The 23,906-nt window shown below is 62.4% G+C and overlaps 1 protein-coding gene and 1 long non-coding RNA gene across 3 annotated transcripts in view; one reads left to right on the top strand and one right to left on the bottom strand.

The window, feature by feature from the left end:
* CROCC2 (ciliary rootlet coiled-coil, rootletin family member 2) overlaps positions 1-23,906 on the bottom strand; it is an 86,976-nt gene that overhangs the window by 57,998 nt on the left and 5,072 nt on the right. For both annotated transcript variants that reach the window (XM_024453115.2, NM_001351305.2), the window contains exons 2-13: positions 16,438-16,588; positions 15,180-15,331; positions 12,669-12,775; positions 9,434-9,590; positions 5,045-5,148; positions 4,186-4,383; positions 2,900-2,996; positions 2,406-2,612; positions 1,972-2,183; positions 1,462-1,644; positions 839-983; positions 252-398 (exon numbers count right to left, since the gene is read on the bottom strand). In XM_024453115.2, coding sequence (XP_024308883.1) covers positions 252-398; positions 839-983; positions 1,462-1,644; positions 1,972-2,183; positions 2,406-2,612; positions 2,900-2,996; positions 4,186-4,383; positions 5,045-5,148; positions 9,434-9,590; positions 12,669-12,775; positions 15,180-15,331; positions 16,438-16,588 — 1,860 coding nt within the window. The remainder of the gene's footprint in view (positions 1-251; positions 399-838; positions 984-1,461; positions 1,645-1,971; positions 2,184-2,405; positions 2,613-2,899; positions 2,997-4,185; positions 4,384-5,044; positions 5,149-9,433; positions 9,591-12,668; positions 12,776-15,179; positions 15,332-16,437; positions 16,589-23,906) is intronic.
* LOC112268440 (uncharacterized) lies at positions 2,109-4,172 on the top strand. The gene is made up of 3 exons (XR_002959483.1): positions 2,109-2,196; positions 2,802-2,960; positions 3,172-4,172. It is a non-coding gene; the product is annotated as an uncharacterized LOC112268440 (long non-coding RNA).

Below are 23,906 nucleotides of genomic sequence, written 5' to 3'. Positions count from 1 at the left end.
CGGTCCCTGTAGGCCAGCCATCCCCAAGGCCTGCCCCGGGGCACTGTCTTCCCTCCCTCAGGCCTGGCCCAGGGGCACTCTCTTCCCTCCCTCAGGCCTGGCCAGGGCTAGTCAGGCTCCCTTGTCCCCAAAACCTCAAACCAGGAGAGGAAGTGATCTGGGAGGATGGAAAGAAGGCCTAGGGCTGGGAGACCCACAGCCACCTGGGAAACAGGTTCCAGCGAGGCCCGCCCCACTGGCCCTTGTCTCACCTGGAGAGCCAGGTGGTTCAGGGCACTTTTGTCCTGAGCCAACCCCTCCATCAAGGCGGCCATTGCGGCCAGGGAGTCCCTTTGCTCCACTCCCTCCGACTTCAGCCGCCTCACAAGAAGCTCCAGGTCCGCATTGCTGCACTCGGCCTGGGGCAGGGAGGGGGATGCCAGGGAGGGACCTTCAGCTTCCAGGGCAGGGCTGTTGCCGCTGGGAAAGGAGTGAGCCCTGAGCCACGGAGGTGTGCAAGCCAGAGCTCTTGGGCGGACATGGTGGGAAGGTCGCCACAGTGGGGAGGTCTCAGGGCCAATGGTGGCTCCAGGCACTAAGGCTCCAGCCAGAGGAGGTGGCTGGTGGTCCAGGGAGAGGCCACAAAGAAGCAGGCGTGGCCAGCAGGGTTGACAGCAGCTGGGCCAGGCTGGTGCCTACTGGTTGGGGACGGGAGAGAACTTTGGTGACTTTGGGATCTCTGGTGATGGGCTGAGGGGCCCGGCAGGCAGGAGAGAGGGAGTGGGAGGCCAGGTCAGTGAGGCCAGGGTGGGTGGGGGCAGACAGGAGAGGGGGCGGGGTTGTGGGGAGCAGAGTGTACCCGCGCCAGGGCGCTGCGCAGTCCCTCCCTCTCACTCTCCACGACATCCCGCTGCAGCTGTGCTGTGCTCAGTGCCTCCCGGACCGATGCCAGCTCCTCTCTGAGCCCGGAGACCTTCTCCTCCAGCTGCTGCAGGCGGCCTTGACTGAGGCCCCAGACCAGAGGGCGGGAGGTCGCTCAGGGTGAGCAGTGGCTGCCCCATGGGATTTCAGGCAGGCGACCACCTGCAACTCCCTCCAAGCCCAGGGAGGCCCAGGAGGAGCATGGAGTCCCTGGAGGACCAGGAAGGCAGGGAGCCCTTCGCTTCCAGGCTTCATTTCCGGGGCAGGGGAGGCACAAGTGCCTCCGGGGGGACGGGAGGGGTGGGGCCCCACATCTGATGGGCCCACGGGGTGGTGGCCCAGGTGGGGCACTGGGCCAGAGGAAGTGAGGGTTGGTCTGGAGGATGGTGCAGCCTGGGGAGAAGCCTGGAGAGCCCCCGCCCCTGCCCTGTTAGGGCCACCACACCCTGAGATGAGACAGGTGAAAAAGCAGACCCGTGGCCCAAGGCCAAGTGGCTGATGGTGGCAGAGTGGGGTCTCTTCTGTGGGAGGGGCCCTGCCCACCCAGCCACGGCCGCGCACCTGGTCTCCAGTGCCCTGCAGCTCCGCTCCCTCCGCAGAGCCAGCTCCTCCCTCCGCTCTGCCTGCAGCAGGAGGCTTCTCTGCAGCTCTGCAGCCTCGGCCTCCAGCCCCTGCTTCTCCGCATCTGCAGCATCTGCCTTCCCTTTCAGCTCCTCCACCACCATCTCCAGAGCAGCCTTCTCCCTGGGGATGGTGGGGGCAGAGTTGGGGCGGCCCTGGACACATTCAAGGTGCACCGCGTGCCTTGGTGGGCATTGGGGGCTGGGTGGATGCCAGCCCCTGAGACTGCATGGGCAGAGGGAGCCTGAGAAGCAGACAGGGTCTCACTGGCGGGTGTGTCCCACCCTGGCCCACGCTCAACTGGTGCTCACACAACTCTGCTAGAAGGCAAGGACCCCTCCCCGGCTGGCAACCCCTCCAGCTCTAGAGGTGCTTGTCCTGACAGCAGCCCTGGGCCCTCAGGATCCCATACACCCTGTGCAAGGCCGTGCAACCCCTTCACCCCATTACCTCCCCAGGAGCTTGCAGGATGCCCGGCACTGCTGCACCTCGAGCCTCTGGGCCTCCAGCTGGCCCCGAAGAGCCTCTCGTTCCCGTGCCTGCTCCCGAGCCCGCTCCTGCTGGAGCTTCTGTGCGGCCCACAGCTCCCGCCGGCTTTCGGACAGCTGCTCCTGGAGACTGGCCACCAGTGCCTGGGAGGACTTCAGCTGCAGGCACAGCTCCTGCTCGGGTGGGGTAAGTTGTGGGCCTCTCTGGCCTAGGCAGGCTTTGCCCACCGAGGCCCACCAGGGCTTGCGACTCCCCAGAAAGGACACCCCCGACACTGGGGCCCCTCCCTGGAGCCATGGGGCTCAGGGGCAGGCCCCATAACTACCCTTCAGCCTGAGGGGCTCATGTTTCTGCCCTCAGGGAGACAGGGAGTCCTGTGGGCTGCGGCTGCCCACCTGTTCCCGCCGCCACCGCCTCTCTATGGCTGCCCGCATGGCCTGCAGTGCGGGGTCCAGGGTGGCTGGGGAGCAGATGTGTGGTGGGGACGCCCCTTGATGGGGGGATGTGGCACGTTGGGGGCTCCTCAGTGGGCGCCGTGGCTCCCCCAATTCAGTGATGCTGCTACCTGCCAGCTCCAGGCACCGGGCGTCCTCCTGGGCCACCTTCAAGGTGCAGAGAGGAAGGGATAGAGGGGCCCAGAGCACAGGGCCATGATTTGGTGGGGACCGCGCAGACAGTCCTGAGGGTCCCTGCGGGCTACCTCCACCTTTGCCACTGGGAGGACAGGCGAGGGGCCACACCTTCCTGACGTGCCTCAAAGTGCACTGCAGGGACCCCACCTTGCCCTGCAGGCCGTCCACTGCCGCACCAGGCTTCCTGTGGCAGGGGAGACTCCTGAGCAAGGGTGACAGACCCCTGCCACACAGCCACCCCCGTCCTGCCCACCAACCAGGTTCTGCAGGTCGGTTCTGAGGGCAGCGATGGTCTTCGCCTTCTGCTCATTCTGCTCTGTAAGCTTCTCCACCAGCAGGGTTTGCTCCGAGAGTCTGGGAGGAGTCGGGGGGTGTGGGGGTGAAGGGCAGGGCCCAGAGGACGGGCACCCAAGCATGCCCTGGCTCTGCCCGGACTCCTTTGTGCGGTGGCCCCCCTGCCGGTGCTGGGTGATGCCTCCGTCTGAGTGGCCTCTGTCCCTGGTCTGAGCATGTGTCTCTCCTGCCACAGAGCCTTCAGTGGCTCCCAGTGTCTCAGGAGTCAAGGCCCACACCCTGACCAGCTCTCCAGCCTCAGATGCAGTGGCTGCCCGAGGCTCTGCCTTGTCCTTGTGGCACAACAGAGGGAGTGCCCACCACAGGCCTTTTCCTGGCCAGTCCTTCTGCCTGGAGCACCTGTCACCATTAGTCTAACAATAAGTAATTTTACTGTTCCTTCCTTCCCAGGATGCACCTTCTTCCTAAAGACCCCAGGTCCCCCTTCCTGTGGCTCAGGCCCTGGTGTGCTGCCCCTGCAGCTGTATGGCACCGTTGGGCCCCCATGTCCTGTCTTGCTCATTTGGGGCTGGGTTGTGGTGTGTTTGACTCAGCTGGACCCCCTGAGGGTAGGGAGGGCTTCTGCCTGTCAGCCTGGTGGGGTGTTTGTGGACAAGTGGGCCCTGGACCCTGGGTTGTAAGGCACTGGCCCCACGGCCAGCAGGTTAGACCTCCACTGGGGAGCCGCCTCCCTACTTTCTGCTGAAGCTGCCCTCAAGAGACCTCTGAGCCCCCGATGTGGGTGGTGGGTCCAAAACCTTCCACAATCACGGCGGGGCTCATAGACCCCCAGAGAGGGCGTGGGTGTCCTTCATATCGGGCAGGAGGTGGCCTGGTCCCTCTTCCTGCCTCGGTTTTTATATGATTTACCTAAGGTGAGCTCTTGCCCCTAGAAGAATGTTCCTGCTTTAAGCCTGAAAACTCCAGTTCTGGGTGCTGACCCCCAGGACGCAGTCCCAGTGAGTTCCCTGCCGTGCTCCCTGAAACCCTCACTGTAGGAGACCCCAGTGTCTGCCTCCTGGGCATTAGGGGAGTGCCCTGCAGCCACTGGGATGGTGACTCTGAAGAGTGTGCACCACCAGTGACATCAGGGCCCCACCTGCCCTGGAACGGTGTGACCACATCTGGGATCCACAGCTGCTCGGCACGCTGGATGGGCCCCGACCCCCCGGGCCCTCCCTGTGCAAGCTTGCTGGCCCTGGGCGCCCACCTGGCCTGGAGCGCCACCTTCTCTGCGTCCCAGCGGCCCTGCAGCTGCAGCATCTCCCCAGCCTTGTCCCGAAGCTGCTGCCCCAGGGTGCTGGCCGTGCTGCTGGCCGACAGCCGCAGGTTGGAGTCGAGGTTCAGGCAGGCGGTGTGCAGGCGGCGGGCTGTCCTGGCCGTGTCTGCCTGCAGGTCAGCGAGGCCCCTGGGAGACAAGGGCAGCATCTGTGGCGGACTCAGGACCCATCTGCAGAGGGAGGGCCTGGTCCCATCAGCCCCACAGAGGACCCCCTCCTTGGCCATCGTCAGGAGAAGCCCCCACTGCATGGCATTGATTGTTCCCATGTGTCACCAAACACCAGGAAGGCAGCTGGGGAGGAGTGAGCAGGGGCAGGACCAGGTTGCACACTTCAGGCTTCAGCAGCCTTCACCGAGTCATCGACCCTCTGAGCCCCCGACTCCTCCTGCGCAAGGGGCTGCTACGTACCTAAGGGCTAGCAGGGTGGTACCAGGACTGACCTCCAGTGTGGCACCCAGCAAGGGCTGGACAGACTCCAGAAGCTCCATCTGGGTAGGTGTCCCCCACCCCACAGTGTCCTCTTCACCCTCCTCTCATCTCTCCTTGGTGTCCCCAACCTACCTCCCTGGCCTGTTTGTCCTTCTCCCCTACTGCCCTCCTAGGCTGCCCTCATCGCTGCTCCCACTGGCCGGCCTGAGGCCCAGCCAGGGCTGGGTGAGAAGCCGGCAGGCCAGGGCTACTGCACCCACGGGAGAGCCCGCCCTGGGCACCGATTTCCCCCTCCCCAAGGGGGTTTCAGCTCCCTGCAGCCTGGTGCCTGGCCCCAGGTGGGGCGGCTGGCACTCACCTCTCAGTGGCTACACGCAGCTCGGCCAGGTCTGTCCCCAGCACCACGGCCTGTCTCCACAGGAGGAGGAGGTCCCGGGGCTGCCCCAGGCCCCCTGACCGGGTCTGAAAGCAAGAGGCCTCCTGTCTACTTCAGGCTGGGGCCCCTTTACCCTCCCTGAAGCCCACTCTTTTCCAAGTGCATGTCCCTCTCCATGGGGGCTGGAAGTGGACCCAGCATCCCAAAGCCCCCATATCTCACAGGCAAATGAGCCCTGGGCTCCCCCAACCCCACCCTGGGGCCATACTGTGCCCCTCCCCAGGAGATGATCTGGGGACGTGACCACATCCAGCCCTCCCAGGCCAGCCTGCGTGCATGGAGGTGGGAGGGTGGGGTGCGTGGGCCCCTGAAGAGAGAAGGTGCTGACTCAGTCGCGGCTCCCCAGCTACTCTCAGGAACTGCTCAGGCTTGGAACACCCCAGAACCAGGCCTGGCCCCTGCTGGGGCAGACATTTCTGCAGCACAGGGCTCCTGCCCTGCCACTCCAATGGAAGAGGACGGGCTGCCTTTCTCCAGTACAGTCTTTCTCCTTACTCTGGAGGGCTCCTGAAGATGTCCAGGTGTTGGTCTGGCACTTCGAAGGTGCCAGGGACACAGAAGCAAGTTAGAAGCCTCTAGCACTGGGTACCCAGTTCAGCAGGGAGGAGGGTGGGAAGCCACAACCGAGACAAGGCCAGTGATTAGGCTGTAACGGAGCGGAGTGGGAGGACTCTGTGTGGGGGCAGGAATGGGGGGAATTGTGTGTGCACAGTGGTTCCAGCCTTGCAGGGAGCTAAGATGAAAGCCAGAAGTCTCAGAGTCTCCACACCACCTTCTAGGCCCTGCACTCACCTTCTCCTGCTCACTGACCTCTGGAACTCAGGGTGCTACTGTGTTTCTACCACCTCTGCCTGCCTGTGACAGCCCCACCCCTGCTCCTCCAGGGTGCCTTCAGGTAGAGCACTCACATCCTGCCCGTTCTCCAGAACCCCCAGAGAGGACCATGACCAGAAACCAGCGGAAACAATAGAACGAGACCTTGAAGAACTTCAGGTATTAGATCAACTCACCTTCATGAAGCTTGCCTGACCCCCTCACCTGATCCCACACCTGAGATTCCCCCCAGCTGAGCCCATAACACCTGGCCATACACCCTCCGGAGAACACATCCCTCTGTGTCCATTCCACCTGGCTGTACACCCTCCAGAGGGCATGCCCCTCTGTGCCCATTACACCTGGCCATGCACCCGCTGGAGGGCACGACTCTCTGAACCCATACCTGGCCATACACCCTCCGAGGGCATGCTCCTCTGAGCCCATTACACCTGGTCATACACACTCTGGAGGGCATGACTCTGTGAACCCATACCTGGCCATACACCCTCCAGAGGGCATGCCCCTCTGTGTGCATTACACCTGTCTGTACACCCTCCGAGGGCATGCTCCTCTGAGCCCGTTACCCCTGTCTGCACGCCCTCCGAGGGCGTGCTCCTCTGAGCCCGTTACACCTGTCTGCACGCCCTCCGAGGGCATGCCACCCCGTGCCTGCTGTACGGGGTAGACGCTTGCTTCAGCCGCACCGCCTCCTGCACTCCGTGTTCATCACAAGAGCAGGCTGAGACACTTCTTGGCAACATGGAGGTGTGGCTGCCAGATTAACCTGCCGCTTAAACTCATGAGAGTCCAGATTCACAGCCTCTTCCTGAATGCAGGGCTGGGCTGGCCTGAACGGCTGGAACACTTAGGCCAGGAGTTGGTGAAGTCACAGACCATCGGGGAGTGTACGCAATTTCTTGCTACACACACACACACACACACACACACACACACAAAACAGGCACACATGACCCTGCAAGAGATTATAAGGAAAACTGCCTGTCCAGAATGTCGGAGTTAAACAGAGAAAAAAGTCTTCCTTGTGGATATGGAAGCACACTACATCACCAGGATAGTCTCAAGAAAACTGAAGCTGAAAATGTACTTCAATGTGGCCCCAAAGACTGTTAGAGCCCCTTGGCATCTATCAGAAACAAATAAAAACCCTTCCTAGAAAATACTGTATTCACCTCAGGTTTCAAAGAAACTTCACAGAGTTCCAAGGAAAATAAGCAGCTCTTAGTTAAAAAATAAAAAATCACCAAAGGCACAAGGAAACAAAGGACCATGATCAGAAACCAGCAGAAACAATAGAACCAGACCTTAAAGAATTTCAGATATTGGATAGTCAGACACAGGCTACAAAAAGACTATTTTTAACATGGTTCAACAAATAAATAAAAGGCTTGAAAATGTGAGTTAAGAAGCCAGGCGAGGTGGCTCATGCCTGTAATCCCAGCATTTTGGGAGGCTGAGGCAGGCGGATCACCTGAGGTCAGGAGTTCGAGACCAGCCTGGTCAACATTGTGAAATGCCATCTCTACTAAAAATACAAAAATTATCCAGGCGTGGTGGCACACGCCTGTAATCCCAACTACTCAGGAGGTTGAGGCGGGAGAATCGTTTGAACCCGGGAGGCGGAGGTTGCAGTGAGCTGAGATTGTGCCACTGCACTCCAGCCTGGGTGACAGAGCAAGCTTCTGTCTCAAAAAGAAAAAAAGAAAATGTGAGTTAAGAGTAAGCTATTTAATATTTGGGAAAGAATCAAACAGAACTCTTAATGAGGAAAAATACAATATTGGCAATTTAAGCTAAGTAGGCAAATTTAACAGAGATTAGACATCAGAAGAGAAAACTGATGGACTGGAAAGGAAATTTGAAGAAATTATCTAGAATATAGTCTAGGGTAATAAAAAGAACAAATCCGTGAACTGTGCCTGGGAGACAGCGTAAGAATGGCTAACACATGTCTAGCCGGAGCTCAGAGGAGGGGAGATGGATGATGAGCCCCGGCAATGTTTAAAGAATATTGACTTCCCCAAAATAACAAGCGACACAGAGGTTCCGCGAACCCTAAAGCGGGATAAACAAATAAATCTACACGCAGACACAACACAGGGACACGACACAACAACAAGTCGGAGCAGGGGTCTTCAGAGCAGCCGGTGAGAAGACATGTTACTTCGATAAGGAGCCAGTCAGAATCCAGGCAGCCTGGAAGCTGACTTCTCAACAGCAGCAGCGGAAGGAGAAAGAGAAAGCATATCTTTAAGGTGCCGAGAGAAAGCAGCTGTCAACCAGTGAGAACAGTTCTCAAGGACAAAGGGAAAATAAAGACCTGGGTGATCGAATGCCAAACTGAGCTCAGGGACCCTCTCCTTCTGGCATTTGTTCTCACACAGCAGAATCGGCTCCCGGGATCCTCAGGTGACCTGTCCAGCGGTCCAAGGACAGGGACCAGGCAGTGGGAACATGAGATCTGCCTCAAACGCCTCGAGCCAGAAGGCCTGGCATAGGCGATGACTCCTTGCTGATAGCACGGCTCCCGCTGACGCTATGCAGAGGCCGGCATTCCCTCTCGGGGTGTAAACCTCGGCTGGTTTGTCTGACACCTGCCTTTCAGGAGCAGCAGCTGTGGGGGGCTCGGGGCTGGGACCTCGGGGGCGAGTGGCGGCCCCTCTGGGACAGGCTTGTCTGAGGGACGTCTGTGGAGGCAACTGGAGGCCAGAAACGCGGCTGCCCCTCCGGCTCCTGCCTCCACCTGGCGCAGCACATCTTCCGGGGGGCCCGTCTTCCTGGGGAAATCCTTGCCCGTGGTGCCCATAGCATGCAGGGGCTGGGCGTCCAGTCCCCCTTTGCTGGAGGGCTGTTGGGAACACCTTCAGGCCCTCAGGGACTGCCTGGCTGGAGAGCCACGGTACCCAAGGCCACAGCAGCTTCAGGGGGTCCCACGACCATGGAGAGATCCGAGCAGGGCATGAACACCTGGATGTCTCCCTCCCACAGGGGCTGGTGCCTGGAGCTCTGTGCCCTGACCCCCTGCATGCCTCAGGGTCTCAGAAGTTGGAGTGGGAAAGGCTGCAGGGGGACCTGGGGGGCCACGGCCAGGTGCTGTGAGCAGCAGTGCAGCCCCAGGCTCCTTCCAAGGTCCCTGCTCCTGAAGTCTGGCCAGGAGTTCGGCCTACGGAGAACAACCTGCCTCTCCAAAGAGCGTGGTCCACACCAGAGCTGGGGTGCGGCCCCAGTGCCCCATTCTGAGATCCCTGCCCTCCTTCTCCGGGTGGGGGGCAGTAGGGGTGGACCACGAAGTCCCTCACTCCACAGACTGCTGTGGCCAAGCCGGGTTGGGGACATGGTGTGGCAAGAAGCTGTGGCCTCGTCCCCAAGAGGGACAGCCACTGAGCCAGTGCACCCTCACCATGTCCCTGCCTGCTACCCAGCCATAGGCACCCAGACAGGCGGCCGCCATGAGGTGAGCAAGGGTTGGGGGAGCACCTGTCTCTGGGCCCAGCGCCTCAGCTCCAGCTCGCCCTGCAGGCGCTGCACGCTGCCCGTCATCCCGGCCAGCTCCCGGCCCAGCGCGTCATTGGCCTTCTTCATATGTTCCAGCTGCTCCCGCAGGAGCGCGTTCACCTGACAGAGGCCGGTGCTCCTGGACAGAGAACCCACAGGGCATGGTGGGGGTAGGAAGCCTCTCCTAAGAGAGGCGCTCAGAGTCCCCAAGTCAAGGGGCTTGAATGGAACCCCAAACCCTCTGGGCCTAACTGACCTGGGCTCAGGTGCACAGCCGCTGCTCTGCCCCCACCTGCCATGGGCCCCACAAAGGACCCCTAAACTGAGTGCCAGCATCAAGGTGGCTCTCCCAGGTGCCAGCCCAGTGCCCTCCTGCCTCCCTGCGATATCTGCCCCTGCCCCGAGCTCTCCTGGCTCTGGCTCTGCAACCTTGGCCCGTCCCTCAATGCCTGAGACAAGGTGCCAGGGGCTGGGAGGGAGGTGCCTTTCGCGGGGCGGGGTGACGCGGAGAGGGAGTCAGACATGCCCGTGGTGGGGGACGGCTTCTGCTGCACCCTGGGGACTTCCCCACCACAAGTAGGTCCACACTTGCTGCAGTAGGGGTGCAAGTCCGCCAGGTGGGTGGACCTCGGGAGCCGGCACCCCCGCCAGGCCTAAGCCTCCTCTTGGGTTATTTTTCTTCCCCCTCAAAACTGGTTTTCAAAAGTTTCTCAGCACTTTGATTCCTTTTCCAGATTCCTGGAGGATGAACCAAATGTGTCGATATTCTATAGACAACTTAACCTCCCCAGGTCTGGGAGACTGGTGGGCCTTGGTTGCTGTGCAGGGCTGGGTTAATGTGGGGGCTGGGTCAGTGTGGGGGGCCGGGTCAGTGTGGGGGCCGGGTCAGTGTGAGGGGCCGGGTTAGTGTGGGGGCTGGGTCAGTGTGGGGGGCCGGGTCAGTGTGGGGGCCGGGTCAGTGTGGGGGCCGGGTCAGTGTGGGGGCCGGGTCAGTGTGGGGGCTGGGTTAGTGTGGGGGCCGGGTCAGTGTGGGGGCCGGGTTAGTGTGGGGGCCGGATTAGTGTGGGGGCTGGGTTAGTGTGGGGGCCGGGTCAGTGTGGGGGCCGGGTTAGTGTGGGGGCTGGGTTAGTGTGGGGGCTGGGTCAGTGTGGGGGCCGGGTCAGTGTGGGGGGCCGGGTCAGTGTGGGGGCTGGGTTAGTGTGGGGGGCCGGGGTAGTGTGGGGGGCCGGGATAGTGTGGGGACTGGGTTAGTGTGGGGGGCCGGGTTAGTGTGGGGGGCCGGGTTAGTGTGGGGGGCTGGGTTAGTGTTGGGGGCTGGGTTAGTGTGGGGGCCGGGTTAGTGTGGGGGCCGGGATAGTGTGGGGACTGGGTTAGTGTGGGGGGCCGGGTTAGTGTTGGGGGCTGGGTTAGTGTGGGGGCCGGGTTAGTGTGGGGGCTGGGTTAGTGTGGGGGCCGGGTTAGTGTGGGGACTGGGTCAGTGTGGGGACCGGGTTAGTGTGGGGGCTGGGTTAGTGTTGGGGGCTGGGTTAGTGTGGGGGCCGGGTTAGTGTGGGGGGCTGGGTTAGTGTGGGGACTGGGTTAGTGTGGGGGCTGGGTTAGTGTGGGGGGCCGGGTTAGTGTGGGGGCCGGGTCAGTGTGGGGGCCGGGTTAGTGTGGGGGGCCGGGTTAGTGTGGGGGGCTGGGTTAGTGTGGGGGGCCGGGTTAGTGTGGGGGCTGGGTCAGTGTGGGGACTGGGTTAGTGTGGGGGGCCGGGTTAGTGTGGGGGGCTGGGTTAGTGTGGGGGGCCGGGTTAGTGTGGGGGCTGGGTCAGTGTGGGGACTGGGTTAGTGTGGGGGGCCGGGTTAGTGTGGGGGGCTGGGTTAGTGTGGGGGGCCGGGTTAGTGTGGGGGCTGGGTCAGTGTGGGGACTGGGTTAGTGTGGGGACTGGGTTAGTGTGGGGGCTGGGTTAGTGTGGGGGCCGGGTTAGTGTGGGGACTGGGTTAGTGTGGGGACTGGGTTAGTGTGGGGGGCCGGGTTAGTGTGGGGGGCCGGGTTAGTGTGGGGGGCCGGGTTAGTGTGGGGGCTGGGTTAGTGTGGGGGCCGGGTTAGTGTGGGGGCTGGGTCAGTGTGGGGACTGGGTTAGTGTGGGGGGCCGGGTTAGTGTGGGGGGCTGGGTTAGTGTGGGGGGCCGGGTTAGTGTGGGGGCTGGGTCAGTGTGGGGACTGGGTTAGTGTGGGGACTGGGTTAGTGTGGGGGCTGGGTTAGTGTGGGGGCCGGGTTAGTGTGGGGGCTGGGTTAGTGTGGGGACTGGGTTAGTGTGGGGGGCCGGGTTAGTGTGGGGGCCGGGTTAGTGTGGGGGGCTGGGTTAGTGTTGGGGGCTGGGTTAGTGTGGGGGCTGGGTTAGTGTGGGGGGCTGGGTTAGTGTGGGGGGCCGGGTTAGTACAGGCAGGGTGGGGGCCGGGCAGAGGCCCCCTTGATAAGCCCAGGCATGACATCGTCAGCTCCATCTCAGGGTGTGAGTGGGTGATCCACACACTGGACTCAGGTGTGGCTGGTGGCCAGGGTCTGTTGCCAGGGTCCTAATGTCAGTGCTCACTGACAGCGGTGGCGGGGGGGGCTCTGTCCCTCTCCGCCACTCTCTCCCTGTCATTCATGAGGCTCTGTCTCTCTTTGCCACTCCCTCCCTGTTATTCATGAGCCAGGTTGACCCGTGGCAGGGAGGATGGCAGAGCGTGGAGAGGCTGCCACGTGGAAGGCTGGCACCAGTCCCGTCCCCCATGGTGAGCAGCCCCTGCTCCTGGCCTGTGGAGCGGGGGAGGGGTCTGATAGCGATGGGTACAATCGTGATGCAGCTACTATAATAGGGATGCTGCTGAGCCGCTCTCAGAGGCTGGGACGGTGGTGCCTGGTTGCGTGAGAGGCCCACGCTGAGCCCAGGAGGCTGAGTGTTTCACTGTTTCCACTCGGCCTGGGGTCTCCCCACAGCAAGAGGGAGCGCGCTGCAGGCCCCCACACTGCCCAGCCACTCAAGTCAGTCCCCCTTCCCAGCCGTGCCTTCTCCAGCCCCCTGCCCTGCCCTGCCAGGCCATGGAGGCCTGGGTTGGCTCCCACAGGGAAACTGAACTCACAGCTGCTTTGGGAAGAGCTGTCAGTAGCCCCAAGGCACAGAGGGTCCCACTGCCTCTCGGGGGGATGGCTGTGCTTCCTGCAGCCCTGACTGCCCCGCACCTGGCCTCACCTCTCCTCGGCAGCCTCCAGACGGCCAAGGGCCTCCTCCAGATCCACGCTGTGCTCCAGCTCTGACCTCCGCAGCTGAGCCTCGGTGGTCTCCAGCCGGGCCTGCAGCTGGGGAGGAGCAATAGCCCACCTGGTCTGGCTGCTCCTGAACCCGCCAGGCAGGGGCTGGGGCATCTTGGGCACAAAGCCGACCTTAGTGGGGAAGAGAGGGCTCCCTGGGGCCCCACAGCAGGGGCTGGGGTTGGGTCTGGTGAGGCCCAGGCCCTTCCACACAATGAACCCGACAGGTGGCCTCCTGCCCTGTGCCAAGTGCCCACGGCTGGCAGAGGAGGGGAGGGGCAGGGGCATGCTGGGTTGCACTGATGTGCCAATCCCATCAGGCCTTGAGGACAGTGTGAGTATGGTGGCCCAGTGGGGGCATAGCTCTGGGGGCTGCTGGAGCATGCCCACATTTCATTTACAGATGGGTAAACTGAGGCCCCACTGCCCCAGCTACCTGGGCAGCCCAGCCGTCAGTGTAGGGGGAGGGGCTTCAGGGCTTGGTTCAGGCACACAGGGGCAGGATGGAAGGTCACAGGGCTACCTCTGGGGCTGCCCCCTGGAGATTGAGTGTGGTTCCTCTCCATCTGGGCCTCCTGCCTGAGTCCAGCACCTCACCTACAGGGAGCAGGACCACACCCACCATGATGTGGGCCCACTGCCCAGGGCCACTCTGCCACCACTGGGCCAAGACCGAACTTGGGCCCAGGAAATCAAGGGCCAAGGATGGCCTAGGTGGAGGGGTGGAGGGGAGGGCAGCAGGCCTGGGGCCTCAGCTGTGGCTATGCCTGGGCCAAATGCATGGGAGAGCCAAGGGGCCCCTCCTCAGCCACAAGCTGGAAGAGAAGGTGGCGTTGGAAGACCCTGGAGGAGCCGGGCGGGGTCTGGGGGTGCCACCCCAGGATGGAGATGCCATGGTCAGGCACTCTGGCCACCCAGACCCCGTTCCGCCTGTCTTGGGGGTAACTTGGAGTTAGACCCAGCCTCCTGGCACCCACACTTTGCCTGCTGAGCCGCCCGGGAGCTGGCGTGCACTGGGCTGCTGGCGAGTTTGGATCTGACTCACGCAGCTTACTAATCTGTCGGCAGCATTTCTGTGGCTTCTATTCCCACTGGCCTGTTCCCAACATCTCCCCACCCTGTGCTAGGAAGATGCCTCCCCCAAGGCCTCCCCACAGCTGTAGGGGCTCCCAGGAAGAGTAGGCTGGCTGGCAGCTCACGGATGTGCTGGGGCCCCCATCAGGTGGGGTGGACCCCAGCTCCTGCCCTCAGGGGCTCCCAGGGGTGCCAGCAACAATGGATGGAAACGTGTTTCCCGTGTGGGGGTCAGGGCGTGATAGAACTGGGTGGGGAGCAGAGAACGGGCCCCTCAGAGAGCTGAGGGCACCGCTGTGGGGCTGGTGCTGCCATGATCCTGGGAAGGACCCTTCTAGAAGGTGAGGCCCCCTGGGGACCCCTCAGGCATTCAGTACTGGCCACTGGTCAGGTGACTAAGAAGGGGCCAGATCTGCTTCAGGGGTTCAGATCTCAGCCCCAGTAATGGTGGTGTGGCCTGGGTGATCACTGGCTGGCTCTGAGCCTCTACTCCTTATCTGGAAAGTGGGGTCATCTGACATGCCATGCAGAACCAGGGGGGCTCTGAAGATGGCATGGGTGTGGCAGGGGCCCTGAGTACCCCACAAGGTGGGCTGGACACCCCACTCCACGCACTGGCTCCTTGCCAAGTCCTGCCTCAGAAGCCAGCATGTCTTGGAGCGGCTGACATAGGAGAGAGGCTCTGGCCTAGCAGGTTTCTTCACCTTTCTGCCTCGGTTTCCCTGTCTACACAATGGGAGGCCTTCCCCAGCTCCACATTTTGTGACTAAATATGCCTCTTGCTCACCTCACAGGTCACCCTGGAAGGCACTACAGCCACCAGGGGACCAAAGATACAGCCCTGCCTCTGTCCCCTCTCCTCTGAGGTCCAAGCGGCCCCGGCCAGCCTCAGTTGTCAGAAAAGGGCCAGGGAACTGGGGTGGAGCCATTTCTCTGCGAGCTCCATCTGGGGTTGGGGTCGGTGCCTGCTGGCCTGCTTTCCTCTGCTGTGCAGGTGCCAGCTTTGTGCCAGTGCTGGGCAGAGCACTGGGCCCCGCGAGTCAGGACTGGCCAGGCCACCCCACAGGGCTCCCGGGCAGGTGCGGGGACAAGTCAGTGCCTAAGCTAGGTTGCGAGACCTAGGGGACACGCTGGGCATCAGAAAGGCCTGGGCACGTGCTGCTTGGCCTCCCACCTCTGGCCTCAGTTATCCCATCTGTTGCCTCAGTTTCCCTGTCTGTTGCCCAGGGTTTGAATGTCACGTGGCTGACACTCTGTCTTTCCGAGTCTTAGAAATTGCCGATGGTCCCAGGCTCTGACTGCCGTCCCGACAAGTGACCCCTCACGAAGGGCCAGGCTGCCACCTCCCGCCTGCCCTGAGTCTGCTGCACACACGCACCTGCTCGCTGACCACACGGCACCTGCTGGCCAGCTCATCTCGCTCGGCGCTGGCCTGGGCCAGCAGGTCCCCCAGCCGGGTCAGCTCCTCCTGCAGGAGCTCGTTCTCCTCTTGCACTCGGGCCACAGTGGCTGTCGGCTCCTGTACCCCTGCTGCACGGTACCTGGGTCAGCCTGGGTGGCCAGACCAGGGCCCACCCACACTCAGCCTTGTGCCCTGTCTCCACGGTGGGACCCTGGGCTGGCCACCAGGCTCCAGCTGCTGGACCTGCCCCCATCTCCTGGGAGGGGTCCCAGATCTGAGCCCGGGACCCTAACATAGGGAGGCAGACTTCATACTCTGAGCCCCACTTCCTCTCATGTTAACTGCAATCCTACCACCTCGAACCCCAATGCAGACCCAGGCCCAGGCCGAGCCCCAAACCAATGGCAGCAGAGTGTGTGGGCGGCCTGGACGCTGGGCACTCGCGCTGTCTATGAAGTTGTGAGCCCTGTTGCTTCTGGGGGAAGGGACCTGGTCCCCGAGTAATAAGGTGCTTTTGTAAATACACACACAGCCAGTTCCCCGGGCCTGCAGGAGGCTGGACAGACCCTGGGAGAGAGGGATCCCTGGGACCCATGCACGAGGGAGTCCTGGGCACACACAGGACAGGCGGCCTGGAGCTGTTTCCTCAGCTGCCAGGTGGATAATTGGAGGCAGAGCAGGGGCCTGGGGCGGGTGCAGGACAGGCAGAGCCCAGGGGGGTGGGCGTCTGTGCTCCCTGAGTGCCAGTGTCCAGCATTTCCACGCTGAGGAAGAAACCACCAATGAAGCGGAGACGCAGGTGGCCACAAGTGTGCCACACAGCGGCAGCCCTGCTCAGGCCCTGCTGAGTGCCCTGTGGGTATCGATATGATGCCCCTGAGGGTGGCCCTGTGGGGGGTGAGGCCAGCCCCAGGCCCAGGACTGTCCCCCACGCCGTCACCTTGGCCAGCTGCAGGCCCAGGACTGTCCCCCACGCTGTCACCTTGGCCAGCCGCGGGCCCAGGACCGTCCCCCACGCCATCACCTTGCCCAGCCCCGGGCCCAGGACCGTCCCCCACGCCATCACCTTGCCCAGCCCCGGGCCCAGGACTGTCCCCCACGCCATCACCTTGGCCAGCCGCGAGCCCAGGACTGTCCCCCACGCCGTCACCTTGGCCAGCACCGGGCCCAGGACTGTCCCCCACGCCGTCACCTTGGCCAGCCCCGGGCCCAGGACTGTCCCCCACACCATCACCTTGGGGTGGCTCCTCACTCAGGCTGCCGGCCACGATCTCACGGATGCGGGTGGGCACGGGGGTGGGCGAGGCCTGCCGGCCTTCCCCACGCACGGTCAGCGCCCGGTCTTCCCTGCTGGCTGTGGGACTCAGGATGGTGTCCTCCAGTCTCTGAAAGACACCCCCAGAGATACCTGGAGATGGCAGCCCCCAACAGCTGCCAGGCACCCTCTACGATCCCACTGAATGGGAGCCGCCACAGGGCCACCCCAAGGCAGCAGAGTGCCCTGGAGAGGACAGGGTGAGGCTGGGCAGGTCACTCAGGCGCATGCCTTGGTTCTGCACCTGCGGAGTGGGGCTGCGCCTGTCCCCAGGTTCTGGAGAGGAGGACCACACCCAGCCGAGGTCAGCAGGAGCAGGTACTGCGCTTGGGGCTCTGCCCTGTCTTGGTGGGGGCTGGGCTGAGCGCTGGCTAAGCGGTTGCCAGTTCCCTAGGGGATGCTGACAGGCAGGTTCCTTTGCCTCTGCTCCACAAGAAACCCAACATCCTCGCCCACCTGGAGCAGGTGGTCTCACAGCTTGTTTGCACGGTGGGGCCAGAGGAGGGACCTAGATCCCACGCAGCAGTCACAGAGCCCAGTGTGTTTGTGTGTGTTTGTTGGGGGGTGGGGGCTGAGGATGGGTCAGAGGGCTGAGGCTGAACCCATCCTTCTCTGCTCAGCTGCCCACTGCCCCTCCACAGGCTCGGTCCATCGGGACCCAGGTGGGTCCTTCATGAAAGCCGACTGCCAGGGAAGAGGCTCCAATAGGCCCAGAAGTGGGCAGGAAGGCCCAGGACCTGGGCTCACACTCAGGAGGTGTTTGCTGAATGGCTGCCCTTCTGCCCCAGGAGTGCCTGGGTGTCCTGGGTACCCCAGCCTGGTTTTGAGGGTCTTGGGCTCTAATGGCATTTTGCCGGGCAGGGGCACAGCTTGGGGAGGGCCGGGACCCCAGGGCAGGGGACTCCTGCCAGGTGAAATAGATTACCGACTGTGGGCAGGACACACAGGCCGCCTGTGCCAAACCAGCAGAAGCCCAGGCAGGATCCCGCAGGAATACGCAAGGCCACAGCTGTCCCCGGCCTGCTGCCTTAAGGATATCTGAATTTCAGGCAGTGAATTAACTACTAAAGGGTGACTGGATGCTTGCCAGGGGAAGCTGGGAGGGGATGTCCACTCCTAGGGCTCTCCAGCATGGCACGCCAGAGTCCACCCAAGTCCTCCTTGCCTGGCTCCCACGCCAGCACAGAGGACCCCTCTCCCTGGGGTCCGCAGGGCAGCTCCCCCACCTTGTGCCTCCTGGATTTTCCTCCTGACCAGGGTCCACGTGGGTGACCACCTGGCTGCCTCCTGCCTCCCATCTCTTGGCCCTCCCTGAGACCCTGCTTGCGTCCCCGGACTCTGACCTCAGGCCTGGGCTGGTGGCTGTGCCCTGCTCCCCCACCCTCCTCCCAACCCCAGCCAGGCCTCCTGCACCTGGTGCATGCTGTCTGGCTATCCCGGATGCTCCCTGGACACAGGCCTCCTCCTCCATCTGCACCCCAAAGATCGCGGCCCCCCTCGCCGGGGTTGGAGAGTCACCGCAGACCCAGGCTCAGCATGGCGCCTGGAGAGGCCCTATTCCGACTCTGCTGCCCTGCAAAGGGCAGCCACTCAGCAAACGCCTCCCCACTATCAGCTGAGGTCTGGGGCCAGCCCGCCCGTCCTCCCGACAGCCCGTGCACCAGGGTCTGTCTCTCAGTCCCCTGGGAGGTCTTGGGAGGCGCCTTCACTGCAGGTTCCCCCATTGCCTCTTCTTCTGGAGGGAGTAATGGGCCCCCCTTGGGAGCAGCAGCCCAGTGGGGGAGGGGGAGGGAAGTCCCTGCTCCTCCTCCTGGGCCCAGCTGGGACCCAGGTGCCAAGACCACCAACCAGGAGGAGAGCTGCTGGAAGGGGCTCAGCCATTCTGTTCTAAACCCCTTATTTTGCACAGCGGAGAACGGAGGCCCAGCAGGGTGGCAAGAGGCACCCCAGGCTCCTTGATCAGAGACCGTCATGCTCCGCTCAATCCCCCAGACTGGGAAGGGCTCTGCCCCGCCCTCCCTCCGCCTGCTCAGCAGCTCCCGCCCTGCGCTCCCCCGGGCATCGGCGGCGCCACCCGCTAACGGGAAGGCTGCAGCGCGGAGTAAACTTGACTCATTCCTAACATTTACAGAGGGTCACTTATTAGCGGGACGTCCCGAGAGGCGCTGGGGCGTAATGGGTTCCATCTGTGGACGGGTGCCTGCAATAGGCCGCGGCCCAGCTGGAGCCGGAGGGGGGCGCGGGGAGCGCGGGGGGAGCGCAGGGGGCGTTCAGGGGGACACGGGGGGAGCGGGGAGCGCAGGGGGCGCGGGGGCGCGGGGGCACGGGGGGAGCGCATGGGGGGGGCGGGGGACGCAGGGGTCGTGCAGGTGGGCGGGGGGCACCGGGGAAGGAGGGGGCGAGCAGGGGGGCGCAGGGGGACGCAGAGGGGGGCGCAGGGGGCGTAGAGTGGGCGCGACTTTGGAGTGTGAGGGCAGCGCCGCCCCCATGGAACCACCCGGAGGAGAGAAGGGCTGAGGGAAGGAGCAAGCAGGGGAGAGGCAGGGATGGGAGAGGAGGGGAAGGAAGGGAAGGTGGAGGTCGGCGTGTCCGGAGGCCTGTGCCGCCAGCCTAAGCGCTTAGGACCCCGCCGATGCTGCTTCCTTCCCCACGGCTCCAGGGTGGTCCTGAGGGTCGGCACCGCCCACTCCCCAGGCCCCTCCCAGGGACTCTGCGCTGCCACCTGCGCCGGCGGGTACAGGCAGGGCGTCCCCTCCGCGACCTGTGGGTCCTTCTGGGCCTGCCCGTTTCCCGCCCGGGGCCTCTGCGGGGTGGGCCCAGGCTGTGGCCCAGCGTCCGCTGGAGGCTTGTATTCTAGAAGGCCTCGCAGTGGGAGGGAACACCAGGGCTGGAGGTCACTTTCCCCTAAGGCCCCAGACTCACAGCTGAGCCCGGCCCCTATCTCTTCCTCCTGCCCCCAGCACCTTCTTCAGCTCAACCTGCATTAAAGACCCCAGGGAGGTCACAGCCCCTGAGTGGAGCTACGCTAGGGGTAGCTGGCCCACTCAACCCGATCCTGGCCCTGAGGGGGGTGGCCCAGCAGGGAGAGCCAGCGGGTCCTCACTGCTGCGCCACCCCATTTGGTTGTGTGGAGAGGGACAGCCAAACCTTGGGGGAAATGTGGGCTCCCCATATCTCTGCCTCCACAGGGTTAGAGCAGGGCTCCCCTCTAAAAGAGTTGGACTGGGGTCCTTGCTATGCCACCAATAAACAGAGACCGTGGGTGTTACCCCCCACCTCATGTCCCCATCTGTGAAATGGGAGCGTTGGCCATCCAGGCCCTCCTGGATCCCAGGGCCAGGGGCTGAGGCTCTGTGAGGGTGCAGTGGATGGACCACGTGTGGCCTCAGCTGCCTGCCCCCAACTGGCCACCAGCCCCTGGGAAATGCAAGCTGCTGGAATCTTGCCTGGAGGCAAATGACCTCCCACACTCTGATGGAATCAGAACCCTCGTGTGGATCCAGGGTCCCACCTGCACTTTGGCACTTGCTGGGGACCGGGGGTTTCAGGGCTGCTACCAGGGCCTCTCCTCTTACACCCCTTCCCCATTCCAGGGCCTTGGCCAAGACCCTGGAATGGGGGGCCGGGAGGTCACCTTATCATCATGCTGCAGATGGGGAAACTGAGGCCAGGGACACGACCCCAGCTCTCCACTGGGGTGGGGTGGAGCCACAGCGCACCTGCCAGCCCATACTGCCTGCAAAAGGCTTCCGCCTGCAGGGAGGGCGCAGGGACTGTAGGTCTGCACCGAAAAACCCGAGTCTTGGCTTTATCTGGAGGCCACGCTCTTGCGCTGATTCCCATCCCTGCGCCTGGGGCATCACCTTGGAGATGCTGTCAGGGGTCAGAAGACTTGGAGGGAAATCCCCCACACCCTCGTCAAAGCCATCTGAAGCAGGGACGGTCAGGGGCCTGCTGAAGCTCAGACCCAAGGGTCACTGGCCCCACCAGCCCTCAGCAGCCCCACCACCCCGTCGTCCCGTCCTGCTTGGACAGCTGCCTGAGCTGGGGGCGGGAGGGGGAGCACGTCCATCGGGACCCCCGCCCACCCACCAGCAGGCTCCTCGGTCAGCCTGGGTCACCCTCATTGAGGGGTGGACCCCCGAGTGAAGGGTGGGGTGGAGGGCGAACCTCCTGAGTGAGGGGTGGGATGGAGGCAGCTCCCAGCCAGAGGGTGGAGGGTCCCTTCCCTGAGCTCCAACAGTGCCCCCGTGTGGCCGCGAGGAGCGCTGCAGGGGGCTGCCAGGTCCTGCTCTTGTAGAACGGAGGCTGGGGCTGGGGGTTTGGACGGCATCTCGGACCAGTGCTCAGTGGAAAATGAAAGATGTGTGTCCACGAGAGTGAAGGCGCGCGCCAGCATCGGCCCGCAGGGTTCTCCACGCTCTCCACTTGCAAACGTTTTCACATCCATTGTCCTGGCCTGCATTGGAGGCTTCTGGCCTCCGCCTTAATGGGTGAGGAGGGTGAGGCTTGGCACCTCTGAGACTTGCTCAAGAGCACCTGCTCAGCAGCAGCGTTAGGACTGGGACCCCAGCCTTGGGCCCCCACTCGCGCACAAGGGTGGTCACTGATGAGCCTTCCCAGCGGCGGTGTCTGGACTTGGCTCCACTGCAGTTCTCCTCCCCTGTGTGCCCCCTTCCCAGCCTGAGCAAAGGGCAGGGAACCAAGCAGCTTCCGGGCCGGGCGGCAGCCCCTTTCCTCCTGTGTCTGAGCCCAGCCATGCTGCGGCTGCTGCCTTTCTCTCCCGGGCCCTCCATGGCCCTCCCAGCATCCCTGGGCGGGGAAGTCTGGCCTTGCCAGGAGCAGGCACAGCTTGAAGAACACATCTGAGGACAGGGCCTCCGGCCAAGTCCAGCCACCGGACGTCTGCTTGCCGTCCTTCCGCAGCCCGGCCCGCCGCAGAGAGGGCCTTGGGCTGGGTGGCCTCCTGCCAGGCTCCATTTCCTTAGGAAAAAGAGCTTCTCTGTGCCTGGGATAACACCTGGCCTCCAAAATGCTGTATTTCAGCAATTGCTCAGTTTAAGTCTCTGTGTTTGTGGAGCACACTCTGGGCCTGGGCATCACCCAGGAGCGGGAACATGCCTCTGTGGGTGTCAGTTTGCTCCTCAGGTGTTGATAAATCTAGGCCACCCCTGCAGGCAGGACCCCGGCCGGCTAGGCACTGAGGCAGGGATTGTGGATGGGGAGAGACAACTTCTCACTCCCTTCTATGCCACCAACACAATGCTTGGCACACAGACAGGCTCGGACACAGCGCACTGCTCCTGCTCAGAAGACTGAGAGCTCAGCTGGAACTGCCTCAGGTCCGAATCACCAATGGCAAAATGACTCAGAACAAGGAACTCGAGGAGGGCAAGGACCCTGTCTTTCCTGTTTATCCCTGTGTCCCTGGCGCCCACGCAGGCTTCCTGGGGGAGGTGGGATAAGAAAGAGCCCACCAGCTAGAGAGCCCGGGCACTGTGTCCATGTGGAGGGAGCTGTGGAAGCAAAGGTGGAGGGGGTGCATCTCCAGGGGTCTGTGCAGGGTCTGGGGGAGGGGCAGTGGGGATGGGGGTGAGTGAGGCAGAGCAGGAACCTGGCTCCAGACCGTGAGGGCCTCAAATGTTCTGTGGAGGATTGTGGGACACGATCCTTGGACCCCGGGGCTAGTGGGGGTTCCTGAGCGGGAGGATGGGCCCGTGTTGTTAGCACAGTGGCCCTGGCTGTGCCTGACAGGGCCTGGATGTGGCCTGGGAGATTGGGAGATGGGCTGAGCATCTGCCTCTGGCTTGCTTGTGACAGTGCGGAGCTCAGCGACGGGCACCGTGGCCTGGCTGCTTGGAAACCATCCACCGCTCCTGTCCCGTGGTGGGGACCCTAGACTTGGTCCCTTGGGATCTCCTGAGTGATAAGCGTGTCTTCTGTTGGCCTATGAGACGACTGATGGCCAGGGCCCCTGGATAGCCGCAAAGTAGGGGCTGGTTACCAGAAAGACCACGGCACGATTAGAACGTTGGTGCTTTCAGCCCCACACCCTGACATCTGGGGAGGGGAGAGGAGCTGTCTCTGGAGCTGATCACCAACGGCCAGTGATTTAATGAATTTTGCCTACTTAATGAAGGTTCCATAAAAACCCTAAACCACAGGGCTGGGCAGGCTGGGTTGCTGAATACAAGGCAGTGCTGTGGGTGGTTGGTGTGCCCAGGGGCCTGGAGGCTCCGTACCTGCCCCCTGTACCTTGACCTGGGCACCTCTCCTTCCGGCTAGTCCTGAGTTGTGTCCTTTATAATAAACCAGTAATCAAATGGGAAAGTCACTTCCAGAGTTCTGTGAGCTGTTCCAGCAAATTATCAAGTTGAGCAGGGAGTTGGAAGAACCCCTAATTCATAGCCAGTCAGACAGAATACGGGAGGCCCAGGACTTGTGATTGGCATCTGAGGTGGGGCAGCTTTATGGGACTGAGTCCTTAAACTGTGGGTCTGTGCCCGCTCTGGATGGTTAGGGTCCGAACTGGATTGAATTGTAGGACAGCTAGCTGGTGTCCAGGGAGGTGGAGAATTGGCTGGTGTCAGGAAAAACCCACACATTTGGTGTTAAAAGTGGTATGAGTAACAACAGTACAGACAGATAAACCTTGCCTGGAGGGAAGTGCGTACGTCAGAGAGGAAAAGAAGCGGGAGGGTAAGACGGTGCGGTTACTACGGAAGACAGCATGACAGGTCTCCACAAAATTAAATGTAGACTCTCCGCGCGACCCAGCCATCCACTTCTGGGCATCTGCCCGAAAGAATTGAAAGCAGAGGCTCGAAGAAATATTTGTACTCCGAGGTTCACAGCAGCATTTTCACAGCGGCCGGCAGGCAGAAGCTACCCAGGCGTCCATTCAGAGATGAATGAATAAACAGAGTGTGGTCCCTCTATGAGTAGAACATTACTCAGCCTTAAAAAGCAAGGAAATGCTGGCGCCTGCTACAACATGGGTGGACCTCGAGGGTGTCATGCTCAGTGAAATAAGCCCGCCACGAAGGGACAAATACCATCTGATCCACTTAGACAAGGCTGCTAGAGTCACCAAGTTCATAGAGACAGAGAGTAGGATGGTGGGGGCTGGGAGAGGGGGGAATGGGGCGTGAATGTTGAATGGGGGCAGAGTCTCAGTTTGGGAAGATGAAAGTTCTGGGGCCGGGCGTGGCGGCTTACACCTGTAATTCCAGCACTTTGGGAGGTTGAGGCGCGCACATCGCTTGAGGTCAGGAGTTCGAGACCCTCCTGGCTACCGTGGCGAAACCTCGTCTCCACTGAAAATACAAAAAATAACTGGGCATGGTGGCGTGTGCCTGTAGTCCCAGTTACTGGGGAGGCTAAAGCAC

The sequence above is a fragment of the Homo sapiens genome, chromosome 2 (genome assembly GCF_000001405.40).
Source record: "Homo sapiens chromosome 2, GRCh38.p14 Primary Assembly".
Taxonomy (NCBI): Eukaryota; Metazoa; Chordata; class Mammalia; order Primates; family Hominidae; genus Homo; species Homo sapiens.
Note: the sequence above shows the minus strand (reverse complement) of the source record. Positions and strands in the feature narration are given on the sequence as shown.